General features: G+C 50.1%; 1 protein-coding gene and 1 long non-coding RNA gene across 3 annotated transcripts, besides 3 other annotated features; both read right to left on the reverse strand.

Moving 5' to 3' along the window:
• On the reverse strand, positions 1,478–10,570 carry MOB3C (MOB kinase activator 3C). 2 transcript variants are annotated; one of them, NM_201403.3, is made up of 4 exons: positions 10,470–10,570; positions 6,663–7,130; positions 3,761–3,963; positions 1,478–3,443 (listed from the first exon to the last, which is right to left on the reverse strand). In NM_201403.3, the coding sequence occupies exons 2-4, from the start codon at positions 7,078–7,080 to the stop codon at positions 3,414–3,416; spliced, it is 651 nt and encodes a 216-aa protein (NP_958805.1). In that variant the 5' UTR covers positions 7,081–7,130; positions 10,470–10,570; the 3' UTR covers positions 1,478–3,413. The 2 variants fall into 2 exon arrangements, with proteins under 2 accessions (NP_958805.1, NP_660322.3); NM_145279.5 differs by lacking the exon at positions 10,470–10,570 and adding an exon at positions 8,730–8,892.
• Positions 7,020–7,643: an enhancer, noted in NCBI's record as "H3K27ac-H3K4me1 hESC enhancer chr1:47078933-47079556 (GRCh37/hg19 assembly coordinates)". NCBI's record gives its function as "activates a minimal SCP1, AML or CMV promoter by ChIP-STARR-seq in naive H9 embryonic stem cells {active_cell/tissue: H9 hESC(naive)}" and the evidence as "EXISTENCE:reporter gene assay evidence [ECO:0000049][PMID:30033119]".
• Positions 9,995–10,064: an enhancer, noted in NCBI's record as "active region_1005". NCBI's record gives its function as "activates an Ori minimal core promoter by ATAC-STARR-seq in GM12878 lymphoblastoid cells {active_cell/tissue: GM12878}" and the evidence as "EXISTENCE:reporter gene assay evidence [ECO:0000049][PMID:35858748]".
• Positions 10,465–10,744: a silencer, noted in NCBI's record as "silent region_849". NCBI's record gives its function as "represses an Ori minimal core promoter by ATAC-STARR-seq in GM12878 lymphoblastoid cells {active_cell/tissue: GM12878}" and the evidence as "EXISTENCE:reporter gene assay evidence [ECO:0000049][PMID:35858748]".
• On the reverse strand, positions 15,454–19,580 carry LOC105378697 (uncharacterized). The gene is made up of 3 exons (XR_947297.2): positions 18,123–19,580; positions 15,595–15,733; positions 15,454–15,487 (listed from the first exon to the last, which is right to left on the reverse strand). It is a non-coding gene; the product is annotated as an uncharacterized LOC105378697 (long non-coding RNA).
• Between the last annotated feature and the right edge of the window lie 6,373 nt (positions 19,581–25,953).

The following is a 25,953-nucleotide window of genomic DNA, read 5'->3' on the forward strand; positions in this document are numbered from 1 at the left end:
CAAAGCATGGGACTTGTAACAGTCTGAGCTGTCCAATGACAGAGGAGGTAGTGAGCGATCTGTTATAGGAGGTGTGCAAATAGCACCCTTTTAGAATGCTGGGATTGGGCCTCCTGTGGTGAGCCAGAGGAAGAGGCAGCAGAATGGAGGGCCTTCCAGATTCTAGAGGAGTGACTAAAGGCAGGGATATTGGGGGCTGGAAGGGAAGCAAGGCAGCTGGCCAAAGACACACTTGATTCAACAAGCTATTATATGTCAAGCACTTAGAAGTGTACCTGACACATAATGAACATTAGCTGTTATGATGACTGTGAATGATTCATAGACTATATAATGAAGGAGCTGAGATCAATCAGTCCTTCACTCCCATCACTGATAACAAAATAGATGAAGGGTTGGGGTCTAGAGGGGGAATGGGCTTGCAATGGAACTTCAGGAGCTGGGCTGGGGCTACAACCTATGCCTTTGCCTCCCAGGAGAGCCTCTGCACAAAGCCAGGCTGGCTCCTTTGCAGGAAGAGGGAAGAGCTCTAGATGGGCCTTTGTTGACTCTTAAGAACCAAGCTGCTTTTTAATTCCTGCCCAGGCAGCTTGTGAGTTGGGGCAGTGGAATGACAGCAAGACCTGAGCCAATAGATGCAGATGTCTACTGGGGAGTAAGCTCAGGAGTCAGGCCCATGTCCTGCCACCCCCACCGTAGCTCCAGCCAGCAACAAGTATCTTCCTCTTCAGGATGGCCTCCTGTCCTGTAATTAGTGTTGGGATTGTATTTCCACTCTGTCCTTTTATCTACTACCTCAAAAAAAAACCACCCAGAGTAAGGGGCTGGAGTGAGAATAGCCAATGCCAGGCCAGGCGTGGTGGCTCATGCCTGTAATCCCAGCACTTTGGGAGGCCGAGGCGGGTAGATCACGAGGTCAGGAGATCGAGACCATCCTGGCTAACGCGGTGAAACCCCGTTTCTACTAAAAATACAAAAAAATTAGCTGGGCGTGGTGGTGGGTGCCTGTAGTCCCAGCTACTCCGGAGGCTGAGGCAGGAGAATGGCATGAACCCAGGAGGCGGAGCTTGCAGTGAGCCAAGATCGCGCCACTGCACTCCAACCTGGGTGACAGAGCAAGACTCCATCTCAAAAAAAAAAAAAAAAAGAAAAAGAAAAAAAAGAATAGCCAATGCCAGGCAACCTGAGATGAAACAAGGAACGATTCCTATCAGACTGAGTTCCCGGAAGGCAAAGAAAAGCCAGGCTTCTCCACCCCAAGCGTCCTAGCCTAGCTCGGTCTAGAATTTCCAGAGCCCCAGGAGAATCTTTGTGTCCCCACCCTAGAGAGCTGGGCCAGACATGACCACACCAGCCAGCCCTCCACATGGTCCAGTATCTCAGGACAAAAAGCCTTCCCAGCCCCATTCTGGCTCAGTTCCTTCCATGGTCTGCCAAGAGCCATGTGGCACCCAGATCACCGCTTCCCACCAGTGGCTGCTTTAGTTTGCCTTTTATTTTACCAAAAATAACAACAATAAAGTCTTCCCTCTGTTTCATAAAAATAAATTTTCCAACCCTCCCCCTATCCCAGAAATCAGCCCTTGCCACAGCCTAGAATCCATCATGCAAGTCACAGCACTCTGGGAAAAGCTCCTACTACCCTCGCTCCACAGCCTCTGGCAAAGCTGCCAGGCCACTCTGGAGGCGGCAGAGGCAGAAGTCCCAGGCCCAGCTGGCTGGGCCCAAGAGCTCCATCTGTTTCCCCAAAGTACAGGCAGCTTCTAGGCCATTGAGTGGGGCATGATATTGGATGCTTGGCTCAGGAAACAACCCCAGCCAACCCAAGGGGCAGTGGGACATGTTGGCCTCAGGTTAGAAATTATTGCTCAAAGCAGAAACAGTTGTGTCCTAGAGAGGGTCTGTTAAACCCTCTTTCCATGTGTATCTCTATGTAGCAATTGATGGGCCCTGCGGTCAGGATCCCTGGTTTCTCCAGCTCCATGAATGCCTCCCTGTGAGGCCCTGGACAGTTTCTCCCTCTTCTTCTCCTGGCTTCAGTTTCCCCGTATGTACATTGAGACAGTAAGACTGGATGATTCTCAGGTTCCCTCTGGCTTTCCATTCTGGCATCCCAGAGTGGAGGCTCTGGGAGGGCAGAACCCTGTTCCTGCCTCAGTTTCCCCACCTGTGGGTCTGCGTATAGGGCTGGGTATGGAGGTACTGAGTAATGGAGTGCTGCGTGAACATCCCAGTCTCCCTGTGGATAGCTGTGCTGTGAGATCCAACTGGCTGGAATGTGTCAGGGATGGCTGGGAAGGAGGCAGGTACTTTTAGGATGGAGGATCTCCATGCCTGGAAGAGTCCATTCACCAACTACATCCTCAATGTGCTGGGATGGGAGACAAGACTCCAAAGTTCCCAATTCAAGTTCCACAAGCTCCTTGGACGGGGAGATTATTTTGTGCTGGGCTTCAGATCCGAGGAGCCAGGTCTGTAGATTCTGGGAGCTAGAGTGGAGTATATGATTCCCAGATGAAGGGCCAGGGGACCTTTGTGTACTTGAGGGATCATCTCCAACCCCCAGGAGGACACGTATAATACAGGCCTTCTTGGAGGCAGAGGGATGAGTAAAATGTCAGCTCATGGGCATCTCTGGGTAAGAGAATCAGAGCCTGTGTCTGCAGTGGGTCGGTTTAGGAACTCAAGGCAAGGCTCCTCTTCCTACGTTCCCCCAGCTCTCCAGGACTCATGCTGATGGAAGAGTGTAGCCTGGAAGGTTTGAATGTAGAGCAACATCTACAACCACATTTTTGTGCACTTACACACATGGTCAGATACACTGAGTGGGGACGCTGAGCTGTCATCACTCCTACAGTGGTCATGGTCTGATGGTCCCATGGTCTGATGGTCCCAATCTATTTATCCATCCATCCAACATTTATGGAAGGCCTACTATGTGCCAAGGAGGGGTAAGGCAGCTAGCTCTCACAGACACACCCCACAGTGAAAATCACACACACACACACACACCCCGGCATCTGTGCTCACTCACAGGCAGACTGCTCACTTTCTTGCACCTTTCTTGCCATCACCTCGGCCACACCCACATTCCTCCAATAGGCTTGGGAACCAGCATGGAAGGGTCAAGTGTCATAGAAGAAACCCCCTAGCCTACCCTACTCCCAGACTTCATGCCAGAGGTTTAACTCCACTTCCCTTCTGTTTGCCTGCCTAGATGCTCTCCCCTTCTCCATCCACAAGCGGTCAGGGCGACAGGTAGGCAGACTCCTGAGAACCAGAAGTCCAGAGGCTTTGGGTGTGTGGAGTGATTCCAGTGCCTTCAGATTCCTTCAGGCTCCTGGGGGTCCCCTCTGCCAGCCACCCTATGTTCAGATCGTCCATCTGATGGCCAAAAAAGTCCAGACCTGGGCTCAGTGGCAGATCCGCTCTGTCATCTCCCTCTGTAGAGACACAAGGTAGGGAGGGGTCAATTAGAGCTCAGCCTACTAGGCAATCCCTTCCCAAACCATAGGGCCTAGCTGCTCTTCTGTCTGAGCCTGGCCTTCCCCCAGCAACCCCAACTCTTAGGCTGCAGATCTGGGTTTGTAAACCAACACTTGAATGAATTCTCTATTGAAGTACAGAATTCACTGTTAAATGAATTGCCTTCCCCTAATTCATCTACTTGGGCGTTGGAGTTACTTAAAGCAGGCAGCTTTTGGACGTGAAAACTCAGAGGCTAGCCTTGGTAGGGGAGGGTGGTAGGGCTTGGCCTCACCAGTGGCTCCAGCTCCCGCTGGTCCACCAGACTGAACTCGCGGATGAAGTAGTAGAAGTGCTTGTAGCAGGTGTTGACGTGCGCCTCTGCCCCCATGCTGAGGATGCTATCGAAGTGGTGGATGTAGACATGGACAAAGACTCGGAAGAGGCGGGTCAGGATCTTGGTGCAGACCTGCTGGAAGTTCTTAGGGAAGGGAACTCCTAGAGGGCAGGGGAGGGCAGAAGGGGATCAGTATCCTGGTGCCAAAGCTCTGCTCAACTTTTCCCTCCCACACACAGGCAACCAGGATGGCTTTTTCCCCAGCACACTTTTTAGTACACTTCCCTTTGGAAAACAGAGAGTGGTTTGACTTTCTCCCATACTTTTCTTTCTTTCTTCCTTTCTTTTTTTCTTTCCTTTTTGAGACGGAGTTTCACTCTTGCCCAGGCAAGTGCAATGGCATGATCTCGGCTCACTGCAACCTCCACCTCCCAGGTTCAAGGTATTCTCCTGCCTCAGCCTCCCAAGTAGCTGGGATTACAGACATGTGCCATCATGCCCAGCTAATTTTGTATTTTTAGTAGAGACAGGGTTTCTCCATGTTGGTCAGGCTGGTCTTGAACTCCTGACCTCAGGTGATCCACCTGCCTCGTCCTCCTAAATGCTGGGATTACAGGCATGAGCCACTGTGCCTGGCCATACTTTTCTTTCTAATGAAGCACAAATCTGACTGTGGCTCTCCCCTGCTGGAATATACATCATCTTCCACATTTTCCCATTACCTAAAGCAGGGCTTTGCAAACTTGTGGGGGTCACTGACCAACCCTTTTTAGACTATGATAAAAGTTACGACCTAAACTCTCCCCAGAAATATGTGCAATTGCAGAGATGCTCACATCACACTCTTGTATACAACTCCAAGGAGAGTTCAACAACTGGGTCCATTTAAAAAATCCCTGGGCCTTCAGGATTAAGTCCTAACTTTCCAGCAGGACGCTGCTCAAGGCCTTTCATGATCTTATCCTGACCTCCCTCTCTAGCCCCACCCCATGTCCCTCCTCTTTTCAACATTCACACAGAAGTCCTCAGACCCCCAATCCTGGAAATTATGAATTCTGCAAGAGTTAGTTCAGACAGCCCTCATTCCTTCAAATATTCAACAACACGAAGAACCTTCCATTTATGAGCAAGGCCTTGTGCTGGGCCCTTCACACCTTTTGCCTCTAATCCTTAGAACAATTCGCCTGATGTGTCTGATTGTCACTTTAGATATGATAAAACAGAAGTGCTTATAAAGGTGAAGCTGCTAGCCCAAGGCCACATAAGTATTAATCAGTGCAGAATGGAGACTGGATTCAGACCCTCTTTGCAGTGCACTGCAGCGACCCTCACAGATATTGGGACCCATGAAAAAGGCCCCGCTTCTGCATAGTCCCCCATGCTCAAGGCAGAGATCTTGGTGGCTTATGCCCTCTTCTCTGTGTGGCAGTCACCCAGGGTTTTAGGCATCGATACCTGGAGTCCCACAGGCCCAGGGAGGTATGGCCAGCAGGGACTATGAATCTACATTCAGGTCCACAGCTGGCCCACCCGGCTCTGTAGACCCCCTCCTCTTCCTCACCATTCCCAGGTGGGGTCGAGCCTTCCCTCCCTCTGAGCCCCTCCAGCCCAGCCCAGATTCCTCAGACATATCCTGCCCATGTAGACTTGGGGTCCTGGGCTCCCACAGATCTGAGCCCCAGTTCGGAATTCCTCCCAGTTCAGTGCACTTTCCCTCAGTAGCCTCAAGTTTCCTCCTATGTAAAATGAAGGTGCTCCTTGTCGGGCATGACAGTGCAAGAAACAGCAGGCCACTGGCTGGGGAGGAGCCGTGGGCATTGAATTGTGACTCAGTGCCCAGCTTCCTTCAGCATTCAGACTTCTCCCCTCAGGGCTTGACCACCCTGCCCCACCCACCGCTGATCCACACAGCCTCTGCAGAGATGAGCTCCAGGCCAGGTGGGGGCTGGGCCCAGCTACAGGTGCGGCTGGTGTGATGAACACAGTGTCATGCCTGCTCAGCTCCTGGACCAACAACCCCCTCCTGCTGCCCTCGGGTGGGTAAGCAGTGCCTGGGTGACATCACTCATCTCCCCTCCCTACCCTCACCCGCCCAGGCTGCCCAGCTGAGATAAGAAAAGGCCCCACAGCCTGTGCCTGGCAAGGGAAAATTCTGTCCTCAGAGCCCCAATCTGAGGTGATGATACCACCAGGGCCCACCCAACCACCAACTCCCTCCTTTTCCTGAGGCCAGGAGTCAGAGGGAACCCCGGGAGGCTGGAGGTCAAATCAGCTATGAACACCTCGGGGCAACTGTTCTGGAAGGTTCTGAGAATCACAGCATCTGTGGTCTTGCCAGAGTGGTCCTTGGTGGGACCACTTATGCTTTAGAAAAGAAAAGCCCTCTGAGGTGGGTGGATCACCTGAGGTCAGGTGTTCGAGATCAGCCTGGCCAATGTGGTGAAACCCTGTCTCTACTAAAAATACAAAAATTAGCCAGGCGTGGTGGTGGGTGCCTATAATCCCAGCTACTCAGAAGGCTGAGGCAGGAGAATCGCTTGAACCCGGGGGGCAGAGGTTGCAGTAAGCTGAGATCTCACCACTGGGTGAAAGACCGAAACTCTGTCTCAGAAAAGAAAAAAAAAAAAAAAGAAAGAAAGAAAGAAAAAGAAAAGAAAGAAAAGCCCCAAATTGGGAGTCAGGAAGTCCTAGCAAATGCTTGACCTTGAGCAAGGCACTTAACCTGTTTCAACCTCGCTTTCCTCTTCCACAAAATGGGGATGAAAATCAACCCCCAACCCTGCAGAGTGTCTATATCAAACTAAATCCTCATCTGTGGAATGGGCTCCCAGTGGCTCCCTCCCCGCCAGGTGACACTCACCAACACGCGTGGGAAAGACCTCTTCGTCGTTGATGAGGCCTTCGATCCAGTCCATGAGCAATGCCATATAGCGCGGCGCAGAGAGCTTGGCGGGCCGCCGGTACTGGCGCTCGTCCTGCCAGCGGTACTCGTAGCGGGGCCCGCCGGCCATGACCGGGCAGCTGGTCTCACTGCAGCGCTCCGCCATAGTGCCGTAGATGAGGTTGATGCGGTTGAAGAAGTCCACCACGTGCACGGCGATCCAGTCGTCGATGTTCTCCCCGGGTGGTAGCCTCACCACACTGCGCAGGTCCAGGCCCGACTTGAGAGAGGCCTGTGCCTTCTTGTACAGCTCAAAGCGCTGTGTGCCCGGCTCAAAGCGCTTCCGCGGCCGGAACGTCTTGTCCTTGGCGAACACCTGCTTCAGGCACAGGGCCATGGCCAGCTGGGCCTGGGGCTGCTGTCCAGGGGCTCGGACCTGAGGATACCCTGCCAGGGACAAGGGCATAGGGGAGCTGGCGGTCAAGGCCTTATCATCTGGGCTCTGACTTCCCAATTCATCATTTCCCTGTCACCTCTCAGCCTTTGCTCAACCTCTGCATCCTCTGCCTGGAATCTAAGTCCTCAGCCCCTAGGTCCAGTGCCCCGCCCTCTTTCCAGGCTATGTTAGTCCCCCTTGCTAAGCCCCCACAGTCCTCCCATCTTGCTTTGTCTCTTTTCTGCTTTCATTGCAGAGCTGGGCCTGGGCTCTAAACAGGTGCCCCTCAGACTTGCTGTTGGTCACGAGAGAGGTCGCAGAGGCTCCCTGCAGGCCCACCAGCAGACAGGGGCTTGGACGAGATGACCTCTGGGAGCCCCCTTGGCCAGCTGGTGCAACGTGGGAGAGCCTCGCAGCATTGTGCTGGGGGCAGGGTGGAGGGGGGTCGGGGGTGGCTTTCGGCTTCCTCTGGGATATCCCGTAGTCCATCCGGCCACCGGGGATTCCCAGGGAGCAGCAGGGAACTTTTCTACCAAAAATGTCCTTTCCTTTTTTTTCACCCTGAAAGAGGAAAGGGCCCTCCCGCTGCCAGCTGGGCGGCTTCTGAGTGTGGCTGCAAGCACTGGAGGAGGGGGAGGGCGGCAGGCCAATGAGGGCGTCGCTTCCTCTGACAACAGCTGGAGATCCTTCCCCTCAAGCCAGCCTCCTCCAGCCCCAAATCTGAACAAGCCACTGGCTCCTCCCGTTGCACCTGACACTCAGTAGACATTCCTCTAGCAACTACTATGTGCCTGGCACTGGGAGGTAGAAGAGTATAGTCAGATGCACCCAGGAGGGCCCATCTAGAGCTCAGGCAAATTTACTTTGCCTCCTAGAATTTAAGGATCCCAGATTCAGAACAAATTTTGGGAGACAGTGATCAGGGCCCTAGGCTCAGAGGCAGGAGTCCTGGGTTCTAGTCCCAGCTCTACCACTGGCTTACTGGGTGACCCCTGTATCACCATGGATTTAGCCCATCCAGGTCCTGGGTCACTCTGCTATAGCTAGGTTTCTAAGACCTGAGTCATCTCATCTCAACTGTGAGTGTGTGAGCTACTGGGAAATGCAGACCCATGTACCTACCAAAACTAGAATTTAGCCACCCACTAAGCACACTGCCCCTGCCCCTAGACTGAGCACTAAGGCTGAGTATAAGCTAAGAATTGCATTCTGGTTCCTGGCTGACCTCTGACCTGGGCTCTGGCAAGTGTGAGCCCTGACTCTAGCCTTTAGCCCTACCCTGAGGCTTGCTTATGGCCAAAGCCTGGGCTTGACCTCTGACGCTGGAGCACTGTCCTTTCTCACATCTCTGGTAACCCTGGGACAGGATTGGGGAAGGGAGGGTGGGAACCAGGTGACACCTGGGTAAAAGCAAAGGGATGGCACATATTTCGGGGAGGGGTATTACTTCTGGCAAGAAGTCAAACTAGCTGGGGAGCTGTTTGAGACAAAGGTCCTTCCTTGAACCCACAAAGGCAGGCCAGGATGGGGGCAGTCTGGTAAAATGAGAGCAGCTTGGAGAGTAGAAACAGGCCATTCAGCAGGAACTTGTTCTCTTGAAAAAAACTCACAGATGTGAAAGGTCATCTCATCCATCCCGACTCTTCGACTTCTCACCCAAAGAAGTCCCCAGGGTGGGACCCCAGTTTCCAGAGCAAAGAGATTTCTGCGCTTCATTTGCCATCTCCATTTTAAACTCTGCTTGGGGCAAGTGCTTCCAAAATCCCTCACACTGCAATTAGGCGGGGCTCCTGGGCTCCCCACATTGCATGGCCCCCTTTATGACAGTTAGAAATAGGCCCCCACCCTGGCATTCAGCACCTTGTCCTACCTTTCCTGCCCCACTTCCCACCTCCCCACACCAACCACCCTGGGCTTCTTCCTGATTCCTGAACACGCCCCCACTCTTTTGCCTCTGCATGTTTTCTTATCCCTCCACCTGCCTGACCACACATCCTCAGATTGGCTGCTACCTCCTCCCACAGCCTCCTCTCCTGAACTCAGATCTCCTTCTCCTTGGGTAGAGGCTGCTTTTGGTCATTGCAGTCTCCACTCCATCCCCAACCCACCCCCAGCTTAGGACAAGGCCTGGCACAAAGTCAGTGTTCAGGCTTTAAGGAAAGCTTAGACTAGAATCTTAGAGTTAAAATAGCCCTGATAGATCAGCTGGCCCAACTCACTTGTACAGATGGGGAAACTGAGGCCCAGATGAGGAAACTGAGGCCTAAAAAGAGGACTTGAGGAGCCTGTGTCCACATAGCAAGTTACAAGCAGAACTGGGAACTGGGATAAGGTGGGGCTCAGCTCATGACCAAGAGTAAAAGACCATTTTCCTGCACTGGCTCATCAATGGTCTGGTGGAGACAGAGAAGAGGAGGGGAGTGGAGGGACAGTGGAAGCATCTTCTCCACCAAACAGCCCAACCTGCTTCCTGTCCCCAACACACTGACTCCGCACAGCAACTGGGGTGTCCTGACCAGTGAGCTAGAGTTCCACCTTACTCCTGTGGAACTTCAAGGCCTGGGTCTCTTTCCAGGAAAATGTAAGCTCAGGGGGTGGGTGCAGGGCAGGTGCTCTTCTAGCCACAGGGTTAACTCCCTTCACTCCCCACCCCCATGCCCTCACTGAGTTTCTATCTGTCACAGAACCTCTGTCTCTCCCTGAACCACTGCCGTTCCCCGTCCTAGCCCCCATTTCCCAGTGATGGCTATCCTTTCACTCCTGGAGTGGCAGTGCCTTGCTCGTTCCCTGGGTGCGGATCTGGGCTTCTCAAATGAAGACAGCAGGCTGACCCTACCTGTTTCTGATATTTAGCCCCCTGCTAGGCTACATCTACCACTCCTTGGGCCTGGCCCAGGATCTGGGCCAGAGGATGGCCCCAGTTTGAACCCAGAATCCATCCTGGGACTCTCTCTAGGACAGAGGTCGAAGAGAAAAAGTAGAGGCGAAGACTCCACGCTCTCCTCGCGGCGCGCAGCCACCCACGCCCACCCCCGGCTTCCCTGCAACCTCAAACCAGCTCCCAGGGCCAGGAAGGTCGTAGGACCCAGAGGAGCCCGCCTGACATTTCCGCTCCCCGAAAACACGCCCCCCAACCCCTCCCCTCTGCCCCGTACTCCCCCACCCCGACAATCCCCCCCGCAACTTTCGAAGCTCTGAGCCTCGGACGCCAGCCTCAGGACAGCGGCCAGCCTGCCTTCGGGCGGGACTCTCCTCCGGACTGTGCCACGCCAGGACGGCCGAAGAAATGAAAGTGGAAGCCAGGCGGGCGGGGTGCGCGGCGAGGCCGCAGGGGCACGGCGCACACTCACGGGTCCTCTTCTGGCCGTGGGGTCACATTCCCAGCCACAGGATCGCCTTTCTCCTGCAGGTCCCGCAGTGCCTGTTCTCTCTCCTGTCAGCCTGTCCGTCTGCCTGTCCTGCCGGCCGCGGCTGCCCTCCTGCCCCGGGCGACGCCAGCTCCGCCCCGGCCCCGCCACGCCGCGGCCACGGGGCGGGGAGGGGCGGAGAAAGGGGACTCCCCTCCACTCCAGTACACAGACGCACTCGCCCCCACCTTCCCGGAAAGTCCATATGGGGCTCCCAGCTTCCCCTTGGACAAAGGACTAACTGAGCTGCCCGCCCTCTCGGTGCTTCCTTGGACCTCCACCAAGGAGGCAGCCTCAAGTTCCCAGACAGTAAAATGGGAAAACGCTCGGCTTCTTCTGGAGCAGAAACAAGAGCTGCTAGATAAGGGTGGTTTCTTTGCCCTCCTAGAATCGTCTGCGTCACACTTGTCCCGGGACCCAATAAGGGATCGGGACCGTCCTATCCACTCCCATATCCTCAGCTCCTGGCACATAGCAGGAACTCAAAACCCACTTGATGAATGAATGAATGGGTGAGTGAAGGAATAAATGAACGCCTTGGGAATCATGAGCTGAGTCCTTCACCCCTGAGGGACAAGCCCCAGAAGAGCGCTCAAATCACAAACTTCATCTCCTCACCAGGGAGGGGGCCTGGCTCAGGTTGGGCTGATTCTCCTTGCTCCTTACCCAGAGTCACCCCATTTCTTATCTCCAGACCCTTATCCCAGCTGTTCCATTTTAGAATACCTTCTCTCCCTCCTTCCTTCTGACAAATCCAAACCACTCAAGATCTGATCTGCTCTCCCTACCACCTGGGTTCCTTCGAGGACAGACAGATATCCCACCAGCATTCAATGCACACCGTGGCCCCCAGGCCCAGGGACCAGTTGGCTGCTCTGTCTGGGATGGGAGGGAAGATTGGAGGCTTTCTAGGGTAGGAAGCCCAAAGCAGAGAGCTTAGCCATAGAAGCCACTCTGGAGGGGTGGGAGGTGAGTAGATGCGGGTAGGGGAGAGCTGGAGGCCAGAGGTGGGCATTTACCATGGCACACTGGACCTCCCTTGTGTCTGGACCTTCTGTTGCTGGATGACATGAGAACACGCTAGATCCTTAACCCAGATCATATCCTTTGCAGCAACATGGGCTGGAGCTGGAGGCCATTATCCTAAGCAGACTAACACAGGAATAGAAAACCAAATACTGCATATTCTCACTTACAAGTAGGAGCTAAACAATGAGAATACATAGATACTAGGAGGGGAACAGCAGACACTGGGGCCTGCTTGGGAGTGGAGGGCGGGAGGAGGGAGGATGAGACAAAAATACCCATCAGGTACTATGCTGCTTACCTCGGTGATGAAATTATCTGTACACCAAATCCCCATGACACAGAGTTTACTTATATAACAAACCTACACATGTACCCTTGAACCTAAAATAAAAGTAAAGAAAGAATCCCAGCTCATAGAACTGTGGGTATGTTCTTTTGTTGAGCACCAATTTTTGCCCCAGTCTAAAGTTCTCTGTATTTTTATGTCTGACTCTTAACTCTCTGCCCTGAATCCCCTATAAACAAACACTTGCTTATGGAGCAAATTAAACTATGCTTCTTTATTTATTTGATATCCTAATCAATATCTTTTATTGAGTATAACTCTCCACTCATATCAGATCAGGGGACTGGGTGATAAAGCTGACCTGGTTGCCGACCTCAGGTGCTGACAGGTCAGTAAAGGGGACAACACACAGAGATACACAAGGTCACAGCTCAGTCACCCAGAAGTGAGAATGTGGTTGTGGACTGACGGACTTTGTAAGAGTCGGGGTATTTGCAGGAAGCACATGGAACACCCAGAATGGGTATGTTTAATGAAGACATTATTTACAGGTATGGTCAAGGTGTAGGGAAACCACACAGTGTATCACCAAAGGGCTCACAAGAGCAGAGGCTGTCAACCCCAGGCTGCAGGAGTGTGGGGAAGGAATGGTGAAAGTGGGAGCTATGAGGAGGGCGCTGCTGTGGCCTAAGGTGGAGGGGCATACCCAGCTCACAGCAATCATACAGGGAAGGACAGGGGGCAAGTAAGAGGCCTCACTCTCCTCCCTCTCTCCCTCCGTCTGATCTCTGGCCAGGTTTCCCCCACTAGCTGAATCCTCCCAGAAGCTAAGAACAAGGGAACCTGTTGCTGCAGCCCATAGACGTCAGCCTCCTAGGGCGTAGAAATGGGTAGAGGGTGGAGAGCCATCTGAGGAGCCATGTGGGGTCAGGGCTGACTTCATAGGGGAAATGATTTGGAAACTGCTTGTGTTTTCCTTATCATTCAGTTCTAAATAGTTCATAAATTTCAGTGTAATTTCCTCTTTAACTCTTGAATGATTTCAAAGTATGTTTTTCAGTTTCTCAGCCTATGGGAGGTTTATGTTTTTCTTGTTGAGTTCTAATTATATTGCATTGTGGTCAGAGATCATGGTCTGGAAGATTCTTCAGAATTTGATGTGACTTCCTCTGCAGAGGCTTTGTGCAGGGTCATTTTCTGGACCTCTGAGCTGGGTTTTACAGGATAGGCAGGAGTTTTTCTGGTGAAGAGTGAACAGCACAGAACCTTACACTGTGGGAAATAGAGATGATCCATTTTGAAGGAACATCAGAAATTCCCAGCTCATCCTCAGAGTCCCTGGGTGTCTGTGGGATGGGAGGCAGGTGGAAGGGTTGGGGGAAGCGAGAGAGCCCAGATCTCTCAACTACCTGTACCCTCTTCCTGCCCTTCTCAGTCTTGGTTAGAGAGACTAGTTCTTCTAGGAGGCTCTGCTGGGGCTGAAAAGACCCAGACCTTGGAGAACAGTGTCCTGGCTTTACCGTAATTTAGCTGTGTGGCCTTGGGATGGTTCTGCCCTCTCTGATGAGACACTGTAACCCTCCAGCACTGGAGACCTACACAAGATGGGCTCTGTTCCCTGCCACTGTGTCTTGAGTATGATAAATGGCTCCAGAAGACTTCAAACAAGGCTCATCTCTGAAGCTTGGCGTGAGCCAGTGAGGACCTAGGAGAGGACGTGCCCTTTTCCACTACTCAGCCTGGGCACATGCCCCCCTCGCAGTGGGAACTCTGAGTGGCAGCAGGGTGGTGTCTACCTGCTGTGTGCCTTTGGGAAAGCCCTTGCCCCTCTCTGGGCCTTAGTTTCTACACCTCTACCATGAAAGCATCTTCTAGCCATACGAAGTACCACTCCAAGTACCTTATCAGAACCAGCTTCCTGTGCCTTCCCGCTGTAGGCCTGTATCCAGTGACTCTACTGATACAGAGTGGCCACTTCCTGGGGACTCCCCAGCCCTTCCTATGCCAAGAAAGCTCCCCCACTCCCACCCTGCCCCCCAGAATAAGATACTGCACCCTCAGTTCACCTTACCAGATGTCTGGCAGCTACTATAGCCTGATAGGGCCCACCCTCTACTCACTCTCTCCCAAGAAAGAGTTTCCATTTCAGCTTCTGCCCCTCCCTGCCCAGGAGGCAGGATCATCCGTCCTGGATTTTCCATCCTGGCCCATTGAGGAGAATGCCATGGGCACCCTTACGGCAGTCAGAGGAATTGAGGTTAAACTTCCTTTCACTTGAAGAAGACAAGGTTCAAGGGAAGATGGCAGGGGAAGACAAGGTTGACAAGGACATGCACTAAAATTCTGTGTGACCATGGACAAGGCACTTGTTCTCTGAGCCTATTTCACCTTCTCTAAAGTAAAGACAACAACAACAACATCTGCCCCACAGAAGAGCTGAGAGAATCAAATGTGATAGCACTTGTAAACAGTAGAAGGCTGTGGTCAGTCTGTTTCAGGGGTACTGCCTTCAAACACCCAGCAGGTGTTTGTGTGGAAGAGGGACTGAGCTTGTTCCAGGGTCCTGGAGAGCAGTGGGCAGACACCCAGGACAATATGAAGGGGCGCTTGGCACATCAGAGCTGTCCAACCATGCAGCCGGGATGGCTGTGCTGTTCTCTCAAGAGGGAGTGGTGCAAGCAGAAGTTACCAGTCCCGGGTGACATGGACTTCAGAGGGTTTCAGTCCCTCCAGAGACGGGGAGGGCCGTCTTGCCTCTAAGAACCTCAGGCTCCAGTGTTCTCTGCTCCAAGCTCCTCCTCCTTCCCAGCCATCTCCCCTTAAGGTAGAGGCATTCCTCTCATCTCTTCCATCTTGGGAAGGAGACCTCTGGAGGCTGGGTGGAAGCCTAGTGTGTATAAGTGCCTGAAGACAATTTCACAGCCCTCAGACCTCACCCTCAACATGGCCCCAGTAGGCATTGTCCCCTCCAACCACTTGGGTTAGTTCCCAGCCTGGGGTGCCCCACGAGTGGAGGTGATAGTTGTGGGGGAGGGGTGGTTTCACCAGTGTTCCAGGCTCAGCTTTCCATGGAACCCACTATGAAGGCTGCCCAGGAAATTCTGTCCAACCTAGCCCCTTCTCTGCTGCTGGGGTGCCTCCATGTCAGCCTCTGGGGCTGCCGCCTGGAGCAACCCCCACTTAGTTCAAAGCTCTTCTATAGAAAGCCCTCAGATTGCCCCAGTCTGGATGCACCCTCCTCCTTCCTCCACAGCACAGCATCCTTTCTCCAAGTGTGTTCAGTAACACCTGCCTCCCTGCCTCAGAGTTGCCAGCAGGGATGGGGGTTTCTTATGGTCCCCAGAGAGCTGGGTGTTATCTTTTAGCAATAATGGTAGTAAATTATGGCTGGGCGCAGTGACTCATGCCTGTAATCCCAGCACTTTGGGAGGCCAAGGCGGGCGAATCATAAGAGGTCAGGAGTTTGAGACCAGCTTGGCCAACATGGCAAAACCCTGCCTCTACTAAAAACACAAAAATTAGCCGGGCATGGTGGCTTGCACCTGTAATACCAGCTACTCAGGAGGCTGAAGCAGGAGAATCGCTTGAACCCAGGAGGCAGATGTTGCAGTGAGCCGAGATCCAGCTTGAGTGATACAGCGAGACTCTGTCTCAAAAAGAAAAAAAATAAAATAATGGTAGTAAATTATGATTTCAACTATTATGGTGGTGTGAAAACACATCAATTTCTTCTATTTGTTCATTCATTCTTACATTCCACAAGTATTTACTGAGGGCCCGTTAGATGTCAGGCACTGTGTTGGCCAGTTGCAGACCTTCCCCTTGCTTTGTGGGTGGTGACAAAGGCCTCGGTCTTCTAAGGAACTTCCACTGGGCCCACGAGTCCCACTGGCTACAAAGGAATATTATTGAACAACAGGTCAGGGAGGAGTGGCTTGTAAAAGGGAAAGGTTCTTGGATATCATTTAGTCTAATCTCCTCGAAGTATGTGGAAAACTGAGACATAGGGAGAGGAAGAGATCAGCCCAATGATGAATCATGACAATAAAAACCATTCAGTGAACCTTACGTATGCCTCTCCCTGAGAGGCATATTCTCATTTCTTCTTCTCAGCAACCCTGGGAGAGAGGGAGGTTTATCTTTCTAGAGCTTTTAAGTTGTTCTTCCCTTCAGAGAGGGACGGAGGGGCTGGAAAGAAAGTTCCACTAAGTAGAGAGAAGGGATTGGCCGTGTTTAGATGACGTTCCAAACTCTACACTGCAGCTCTCTTTGGGTCCCATCTTGGCTTCATGTCCAGGAGATGGGAGAGCTGTGTCTGCTGCAGCGGGAAGCAGCAATTCAGTGGGTGGAGTCCACTTCTTATTGGAGACTCATGCTGCACCCCGTAGAGTCTGGATTCCACACAAGTACAGCTTGTGACTTCCTGCAGAATGTCATCAAATTGCATTTGGGGCCTTTTCAAGAAGTAGCTGTAGGAGCTCCGCTTTGCCTAAGGCTAAGCAGACTAAGGGTATGCTCTTGGCTTTCCCAGGAAGTTTTCCTAAATTACACCAGCTGCCTGGAACCAACCCTCCTCAGGGGGGAGCCCTTGACACAAAAAGTTCTCAGTGGTTTGCAGATGCACTCCTTGGTTAAGCCCATGGAGGTTGTGTCTTCCCTTTTGGACTATAAGCCCTTAGAATTGGGTTTTTATTTATTTTGCCTCCTCCCATGTTACCTTGTAGCAGCAACTGACAGTTGTAAGGAATGTTCTGGTTTACAAAGTGCTTTTACTACTCTTTTTTTTTTTGAGATGGAGTCTCGCTCTGTCACCTAGGCTGGAGTACAATGGCGTGATCTCGGCTTACTGCAACCTCCGCCTCCCAGGTTCAAGTGATTCTCCTTCCTCAGCCTCCTGAGTAGCTGGGATTACAGGCACACACCATCACGCCCAGCTAATTTTTGTAGAGACAGGGTTTCGCCATTGTTGGCCAGGCTGGTCTTGAACTCCTGACCTCAGGTGATCTTTCCGCCTCAGCCTCCCAAAGTGCTGGGATTACATGCGTGAGCCACCGTGCCCGGCCTACTCTGGTCATTTTTGAGCCCTGTAACAACCTTGGAATGTGAGTATTGGCTCCAAAAGGTGAAATGACTTGGCCAAGAAGCACAGCTTGAAATGGCAGAGCAGGGCCGGGTGGGGTGGCTCATGCCTGTAATCCTAGCACTTTGGGAGGCTGAGGTGGCAGATTGCTTGAGCTCAGGAGTTAGAGACCAGCCTGGGCAACATGGCGAAACCCCATCTCTACTAAGAAAATACAAAAATTAGCCAGGTGCGGTGGTGCATGCCCATGGTCTCAGCTATTCAGGAGGCTGAGGCAGGAGGATTGTTTGAGCCTGGGAGGCGGAGGTTGCAGTGAGCCAAGACTGTTCCAAAGCACTCTAGCCTAGGTGACAGAACAAGACTTTTGTCTTTAAAAAGCAAGCAAGCAAGCAAGCAAGCAAGCAAGCAAGCAAGCAAGCAAGCAAGCAGAGCTGAGACTCAAAAACAGGTCTCCCAGCTCCAGTCACAGGGTCTATCCTTCTGCCTGACACTGCCTGAGCACTTAGCAAATATACTGTTAGTAAGTTAGGCAAAGAACAAGTCAGTTTGAATTGGGGCTAGACACTTTCTAAAAAATGCTCTCCTGGGAAAGTAGATGATAATGAAGACATCTGTGCCTGGATCCATGTTAAAGCAATTGGCAGCATTAAGTACATTGACCATCCTCAGTAACCTTGACACCACCTTAGACTTCTCACTCACTCTTTTGATACCCTTGCAAAATCTGCTGGGGCAGGTCATATTCCACACATTCTACAGATAGCACCCAAGGGAGGAAGTCATTTAGTGTGAGCTGAGAGTTGAAAAAGAGATAAGAAGGAGGCCAAGTACAGACAGAAGAAAGGGGTTTAGGAAACAGAAGGCTGTCTGAAGGTCACTCGGCTTCTAGAGTGCAGAGTTGCCTGCCTCTGGGAAGAGGGCATGAGGTAGACCATCACTGAGAGACCCAAGCTTCCCTGACCTTGAGAACAATTCCCTCTCCACAGGGGTGCCCAGAGGACACAGTGCAAGCTGCTGGCTCTGAGACAAACTGAGAAGGGTGAGAAAGTTCCAGCAATCAATCCCAGCTCCAATGGGGTGTGAGTTTCCCAACTGAGCTCTGTAGTTGAGTTCCCATCAATCCCTCATTCCCCTCAACCCCCCTCCCCTGCCACTGCTGCCTGCCTGGCTTTCCATATATCATCCCCCTCTGCTCACTCACCACAGGCGAGTACAAAATGCACGCAGGATGGATGGAGAGCTTCAGTCTGTGCAGGCAACACACAATTCTCTATGCAGCTGCAGGGGCCAGGCACAGATAATCCAGCGCAACAGATAATCCAGCATTTGTTTCCAGGGGTCATGAGCCAGGGAAATTCTCAGCTTTCAACATCAAACAAGGAAAACATCTGAAGTCCAGGCATCTGGGAAGGCTTTCCTCTCTTGCCCCATAGAGGTCTTATCTAATGGCATGCTGGGAACAGCTAGTCTCATCCAAGGAATCTTTACTAGAGGCAGACAATAATAAAAATCCTTGTCTTTTTCAGATATTTTTCAGTTGGGTTGCCTTGGACTGAAGTGCAAAGAAAATTTGGAACAAAGAGATAGAAGGAATGCTGCTACTGATACCCTGTGTGACCTTGGGGAAGTCACTTCACCTGGGTTGGAGCCTTTTTCCTCAGGTGCAAAGTAAAAGTAAAAACTTATTGCAGGGGCTCCCAAATCAGGCTGAGTTTCAGAATTACCTGGAGAGTTAAAGAAAAGAAAAATATTAAGTTGGTGGAAAAGTAATTGCATTTTTGACATAAATGGCAAAAACTGTAATTACTTTTGCACCAGCCTAATATTTTCTCAGGCCCCACCCCAGGCCAACAGAATCTATATCTCAATGGTGAAGCTCAAGAATGGACAGCTCTGACAAGTGCATCAGGTGTTTCTGATGCCCAGTCGGGTAGGAAAATGACAAGGTTACATGGATTTGGTCTCTTTAAACTATAAACAGTTATGTTTAATGAGTTGCCAAGGAACTAAATACATAGACATCTGTAACCAGGAATAACTTTGTCTCAGATAAGCCATCTACGAATAATCAGGCAGGCCTGCACCTTGGCCCAAAACTCCAGACGTTACCTGGTTTCCGACCTAGATGTTAGCTGCCAGGCTTTGGGTCTGCCTGCTCACCTGCCCACCTCCCAGATTCCTGATGCCTGTCCCCTGGTCTGGTATGATTACCACTGCTCAAGCCTCTCTAAATTCCCGGAAGAGATTTTCTGAAAACAAAACATGGTGTAGAAAAATAGTACAAAAGAAACATGTTCTAGAAATGAAAGGTCTATGTTCTAGGAGAAGATTTATGTTCCAGAAACAGAAATTCCTCCTCCTCTGTATAGATGTGCATCTTGAAAAGGTACTTAACCAGCTACTGTTTTGCACTTTCATTATAGTGCTAAGCACTCTGTGTTTGCTACATCATTTAATCCTTTCTTATATTTTGAGATAGGGCCATTATTATTTTATTTACAGATGAGAACACAAAGGCTCAGAGAGATTGAATAACTTGTCTAAGGCCAGACAGTGAACGAAAGGCAGAACTGGGATTCTAATTTAGTCTTGACTCTTCACATCTATGATGGTGTTTCCCCAGTGTCCTCATCTGTAAAACAGGAATAATATTGGCCAGGTGTGGTGGCTCATGCCTGTAATCCCAGCACTTTGGGAGGCCGGGGCGGGCTGATCACCAGAGGTCAGGAGTTCGAGACCAGCCTGGCCAACATGGCGAAACCCCATCTCTACTAAAAATACAAAAAGTTAGCTGGGCGTGGTGGCACACATCTGTAGTCCCAGCTACTCTGGAGGCCGAGGCAGGAGAATCCCTTGAACCAGGAGGCGGAGGTTGCAGTGAGCTGAGATCGCGCCACTGCACTCCAGCTTGGGCAACAAGAGTGAGACTCTGTCCAAAAAAAAAAAAAGAGAAAGAAAAAGAAAAAAAGGAATAATATTACTTTTTAAGGTATTGTTCAAAGATCAAATGAAAGAAACTTAGGCATCTCAGGGAGTCTTCTGGGGGTCACACAACAAGTGAGATTCAGCAAAATACCTCTCTGCTCCCTCTCTTCCCCTGCAAAATTAGTGCCAAAATGTAAGATATGTCTGCTACTTCTTACCTGACCAGAGGCAAGGTCAAAATGGGAGATTGAATGTGGGTTGAAGAAATGAGAGTGCAAGATGGGGATCCATACCATATTGTGAGTGTGGGAACAATAGCAGTAACAAACATGATGTGGGGTCACAGTGGACCACATATCAAGCAGGACCCAGTAGTGATTGTTTCAAACCATGGCAAATATTTTTTGGGTAAATGAAGATCTTGAGAGGATACCACTAAGCTATGGTTACTGCCATGGCAGATGTAGAAGGGGACCAAGGTAACGTGAATATCACATCTGTTAGGAGGGACATGGGTTCTGGGCAATACAGTGAAGATTCAAGTCCAGATGTGATGGGAGCACTGGACTGAAACCAGCCAGATGAAATGGGGCTATGTGTGGCGGTCCAAAGGACTAAAGTTCTAGGCAGGAAAAGCAATGTTTGACAACAGATTATGGGAAGATAGCAAGGTGGGAGTAAGGACGAGGGCCAGGAAAGGTGGAGTCAGTGAGATGACTTTAGTAAGTGGCTATGGGGGGAAATGACTTCCAGGTGGGCCATGCCAACTCCCAAGGGATGGCCACCCAGAATCCACTCTGATTACCCCACAAGGGCATCTTGGGCTCAACTCCAGGCCCCAACTGTGAGGCAGACACTGGTGACACTGGCTAGTCTGTCCAGATGCAGGTGAGCCAGAGGGTGAGGGGCTGGGGTTTTGGGTAATATAACTAAAGACAGACGGTTCTGCTGAAGAGATGCCAAAGCAACTTGAGAGTTATCTTTGCTTATCAGCAGGAGAGGTGGTTAGGTAGAAAAGTGAAGACTCTCCTGGGAGTTTCCATCTACAGCAGGCAGAAGGAGGTGAGGGTAGTGAGAAGAGGCCAGATTTTGGCTAGGGGTGGGGAAGAACTGGCTCACCCAGAGCTGCCTCAGCATGGTGCAGGTCAGTTAGCAGGTAGAGAGTTCCCAGTCCCCAGGAAGATTTTAAACAGTTGTCCAATGGCTTAGTGGTGCTGTAGGGAGGCCTACAATGGTGGGCGGGAGAATTAGACTAGACCAGGTTTTTTTTTTTCAGTCTTTCTTGAAAACTGTTTTTTCAGATGACAGCTTATGAGAAGCCCAGTAAATAAAACACAGATTCTCTGGTTGAGTTGGGGGTCAGAATCCCAAGGTCCCCATCTCTGGACTTTGGGGATTTCTTGAAGCACAGTTTGAAAACTGGTGACTGGATAGTCTGTAAGGCCTTTTCTTTTTTTTTTTGAGATGGAGTCTTGCTCTGTCGCCAGGCTTCGGCTCACTGCAACCTCCGACTCCCTGGCTCAAGCTAGTCTCCTGCCTCAGCCTCTCGAGTAGCTGGGATTATAGGCATGTGCCACCATGCCCAGCTAATTTTTGTATTTTTAGTAGAGACAGGGTTTCACCATGTTGGCCAGGATGGTCTTGATCGCCTGACCTTGTGATTTGCCCACCTTGGCCTCCCAAAGTGCTGGGATTACAGCTGTGAGCCACTGCTCTCGGCCGCCCACCCCCCACCCTTTTTTTTTTTTTGAGACCGAGTCTCACTCTGTCGCCCAGGCTGGAGTGCAGTGGCGCGATCTTGGCTCACTGCAACCTCTGCCTCCCGGGTTCAAGCAGTTCTCCTGCCTCAGCCTCCTGAGTAGCTGGGATTACAGGCCCCTGTCACCATGCCTGGCTAATTTTTGTATTTTTAGTAGAGATGGGGTTTCACCATGTTGGCCACGCTGGTCTCGAACTCCTGACTTCAGGTGATCTGCCCGCCTTGTGCTAGAATTACAGGCATGAGCCACCGCGCCCAGCCTGTAAGGTCTTTTTTTTTTTTTTGGAGACGAGTCTCGCTTTATCCCCCAGGTTGGAGTGCAGTGGTGCAATCTCCGCTCACTGCAAGCTCCACCTCCTGGGTTCACGCCATTCTCCTGCCTCAGCCTCCCGAGTAGCTGGGACTACAGGTGCCTGCCACCACACCTGGCTAATTTTTTTGTATTTTTAGTAGAGACGGGGTTTCACCATGTTAGCCAGGATGGTCTTGATCTCCTGACCTCGTGATCTGCCTGCCTCGGCCTCCCAAAGTGCTGGGATTACAGGCGTAAGCCACCAACCCAACCAGGTCTTTTTTAATGTTAAGGTTTGGCAAGGCAAGACAAGAACTTGAAAGTGCCAGCCTGGTACTTAAAATAATTGTTTTGCTCCAAAAGTTTGTTCACATCATCATCTCTCAGTTCTTTCTGCTTACAAACCCTGGACCTGACTGCCTTCTCTGTTGGTCCCTTGGCTTGGTTTTCCATATGCAGCCTCTGCAATAAGAGCAAGCAAAATGACCACTGTCTTGGGCTGGGACATAACCACAATGTGTTTGCCAGAGCTGGATCTCACTGTGCAAGCGATGTTTGTAGGCTCAGGTGGTCTGAGTTTAGTGGTCACTCAAACGGAGTTTGTTCAGCATCCACAGAGTATCTTATCCCTCTGCCGGGTTTCGTGCTGGACACTTGGAATATAATGTCCAGTAAGATATGATCCCAGTCTCCAAGGGCTATTCATTCTGGTGGGGAAGCCAGCCTTGCAGGGGGGCCATGTGGAGGGGAATAGGTCTCAGGGAAGGCTTCTCATAGGGATACTACAGTGAAGCTTTGAATTAACTTAAGGAGGAATGGGCATTTGAAGCAGGCAAATGTATTAGAAAAGAGCAGAACAGAGGTAGGAAGAGCACAATGTGTTTAGGGAACTGCAAGTTATCCAGAATGGCTGGAGCCAAAGGAGTAGGTAGGAGAGGCACAAAATGAGCCTGGAAAAGACACCATGCACTGGATCCTGAAGCTCCTGTGAGCTGATCTAAAAGGACTTTGTCCAGAAAGCCCTAGGGAACCTGTAATGATTCTTAAGTGGTTTGAACCAATTTTTCTTGTAGATATTCCAGTTCCTAAAGCCTGAAGAGCGTAGAAGTAGCCCTGTTCAAGTGAATGTGAAGAATGAGCCTGCTCAGTGGACATTACAAATGATCCTATTAAGTGTGGAGCATGGACACACTTATTATTATTCCTGGGTTGGCTCCTGATGCAGACAGCAACCTTGAAGTCATCTCTTCCCTTTCTGTGCTCCTACTCTCCCTTTTAGCAGAACAAGGATAAAGATGTTGTTATCAACCTGTCACATCAGAAGAATTGACAAGACCAAAGTTCTCCGAAGGAAGTCTTCCCTAGTTAGAACATGATGTCTTGCAAAATTGTCTGGAGGAATCAGAGGTATATAATGCATGCATTTTGTTCTTTAGTTACCAGCAAGAAAATTGGGAGACATGTTTCTCAGGGCTGGTTCCAGAGCCAACCATGACTTACTTTTTTTTTTTTTTTTTTTTGAGACAGGGTCTCATTCTGTCACCCAGGCTGGAGTGCAGTGGCACAATCTGGGCTCACAGCAACCTCCACCTCCCAGGTTCAAGTGATTCTCGTACCTCAGCCTGAGTAGCTGGGATTACAGGTGTGTGCCACCACATCCAGCTAATTTTTGTATTTTTAGTAGAGAGGGGGTTTCGTTATGTTGAGCAGGCTGGTCTCTAACTCCTGGTCTCAAGCGATCGGCCCACCTTGGCCTCCCAAAGTGTTGGGATTACAGGCATGAGCCACTGTGCCTGGCTGGTTGCTCTCTTTTCTGAGCTGGAGTTGGGGCATGAGGGTACAAGGAGAGAGCAGCACATGTCACTGACCAGCAGGTTCCTGCCAACCTCATAGGGTTGGTAGGATTGAGATAATCCATGTAAGGGCTTAGCACAGTGCCTGGTATATGGTTAGCCCTTAGTAAATGTTAGTGGTTATTGTTAATGTGTATATAGTCAAGTGTTGCTTAACAATGGAGACTACATTGAGAAATGTATCATTAGGTGATTTGGTTGTTGTGCAAACATCATAGGATGTATTTATACAAACCTAGATGGCATATAGCCTATTGCTCCTAGGCTGCAAACCTGTACAGCATGTTACTGTGCTGAATACTGTGGACACTGTAATATAAGGGTAAATACTTATCTATCGTATCTAAACATAGAAAAGGTACAGTAAAAATACAGTATAAGATAAAAAATGATATTGCTGTATAGGACACTTACAATGAATGGAGCCTGCAGGACTGGAAGTTGTTCTGGATGAGTCAGTGAGTGAGTTCTGAGTGAATATGAAGACTGAGGAGGACATTACTGTACACTACAGTAGGCTTTATAAACACTGTACACTAAATTTATAAAAATATTTTTCTTTTTTCAATAACCTTAGCTTACTATAACTTTTTAACTTTATAAACTTTTTAATTTTTAAAACTTTTGACTATTTTATAATTGCACTTAGCTTAAAACACACTGTATAGCTGTATAAAATATTTTCTATCTTTATTCTGTAAGCTTTTTTCTTTAAAAAATTTTATTTTTTACTTTTTAAATGTTTTGGTTAAAAGCTAAGACACAAACATGTACATTAGCCTAGGCCTACACAGGGTCAGGATCATCAACATTACTGACTTCCACCTGCACATCTTGTCCCACTGGAAGGTCTTCAGGGGCAATAACACACATGGAGCTGTCCTCTCCTATAAGAACAATGCCCTCTTCTGGAACAACTCCTGAGAGACCTGCCTGAGGCTGTTTTACAATTGACTTAGTATTTTTTATACGTAGAAGGAGCACACTCTAAATAATACAGTAAATACATAAACCAGTAATAGTCATTTACTATCAAGCATTATGTACTGTACATAGTTTTATGCACTATACCTTTTTATTTTTTGAGATAGGGTCTTGCTCTGTGGCCCAGGCCGGAGTGCAGCAGTGTGATCCCAGCTCACTGTAGCCTCAACCTCCCGGGCTCAAGTGATCCTCCCACCTTAGCCTCCTGAGTAGCTGGGACTACAGGCGTGCACCACCACGCTCAGTTAATTTTTAAATTTTTTTTGTAGAGACAAGGTCTCGCTATGCTGTCCAGGCTGGTTTTGAACTTCTAAACTCAAGGGATCCACCTGCCTCGGCCTTCCAAAGTGCTGGGATTACAGGCGTGAGCCACCGTACCCGGCCCCTGTACACTATACTTTTATACCCTATACCCCTATACACTATGCTGGTGTAGTAGATTTACACCAGCATCACCACAAACACATAATGCATTGTGCTATAACATTACCACAGCTATGATGTCACTAGGCAATAGGAATTTTTCAGCTCCATTATAATCTTATGGGACCACAGTTGCATATGCAATCTAACGTGACCAAAACATTGTTATGTAGTACGTGACTGTAGCTTGGGAGGCCAGCACTGAACCCACAGTACCTCTTGTCTATTGCAAGAAACATATAGCCTTTGAGACTTTAACACTGTCTACCTGTTATTCCCCATTAAGCCATAAGTGCTTCATGGGTGGGTACCAGAGCCTGGCAAGCTTTGCATCCTCCATAGCATGCGGGGGGAGTTCCTTAACTCTCTTTGCCCCTTCTGAGACGGCATTGATCAGTTTGTCTTGTATTGTAATCATTCATGTCAGGTCATGCCGCTGAACTGTAGGCTCCTAAAGGGTAGATACTGAATCTTTATATTTGTCCAGAAACAAGCATTCCTAGCTTGGCTCTGCTCCGGGGCGTTAACACTTGCTGTTCTCTTTACCTGGTTCTCTTTCCCCAGCTCATGTATCAGCTGCCACTGCTGCAGAGATGCCTCTCCTGACCATTAAGTTATTGCCTCCACTCCATAGTCTAAAATATTATTTTTAAATTTTCATAGCACTACCAGTATGTAAAATAATTTTATTGATTTACTTGTCTTCTTTACAAGAATATAAACTACATGAGAACAGGAGCCTTATTTGCCATGTTCATTGCTATATTATCCAGTTTTTTATAACAGTGCTTGGCAA

Source organism: Homo sapiens, chromosome 1, assembly GCF_000001405.40.
Source record: "Homo sapiens chromosome 1, GRCh38.p14 Primary Assembly".
In the NCBI taxonomy this organism is placed as follows: domain Eukaryota; kingdom Metazoa; phylum Chordata; class Mammalia; order Primates; family Hominidae; genus Homo; species Homo sapiens.

Coding starts and splice junctions, on each gene's coding strand:
- MOB3C (NM_201403.3), bottom strand. CDS start 7,080: ATGGCCCTGTGCCTGAAGCAGGTGTTCGCCAAGGACAAGACGTTCCGG. Junction 3,964..6,662: donor GGTCTTTCCCACGCGTGTTG/GTGAGTGTCACC, acceptor CCTGCCCTCTAG/GAGTTCCCTTCCCTAAGAAC. Junction 3,444..3,760: donor AGCGGGAGCTGGAGCCACTG/GTGAGGCCAAGC, acceptor GTGTCTCTACAG/AGGGAGATGACAGAGCGGAT.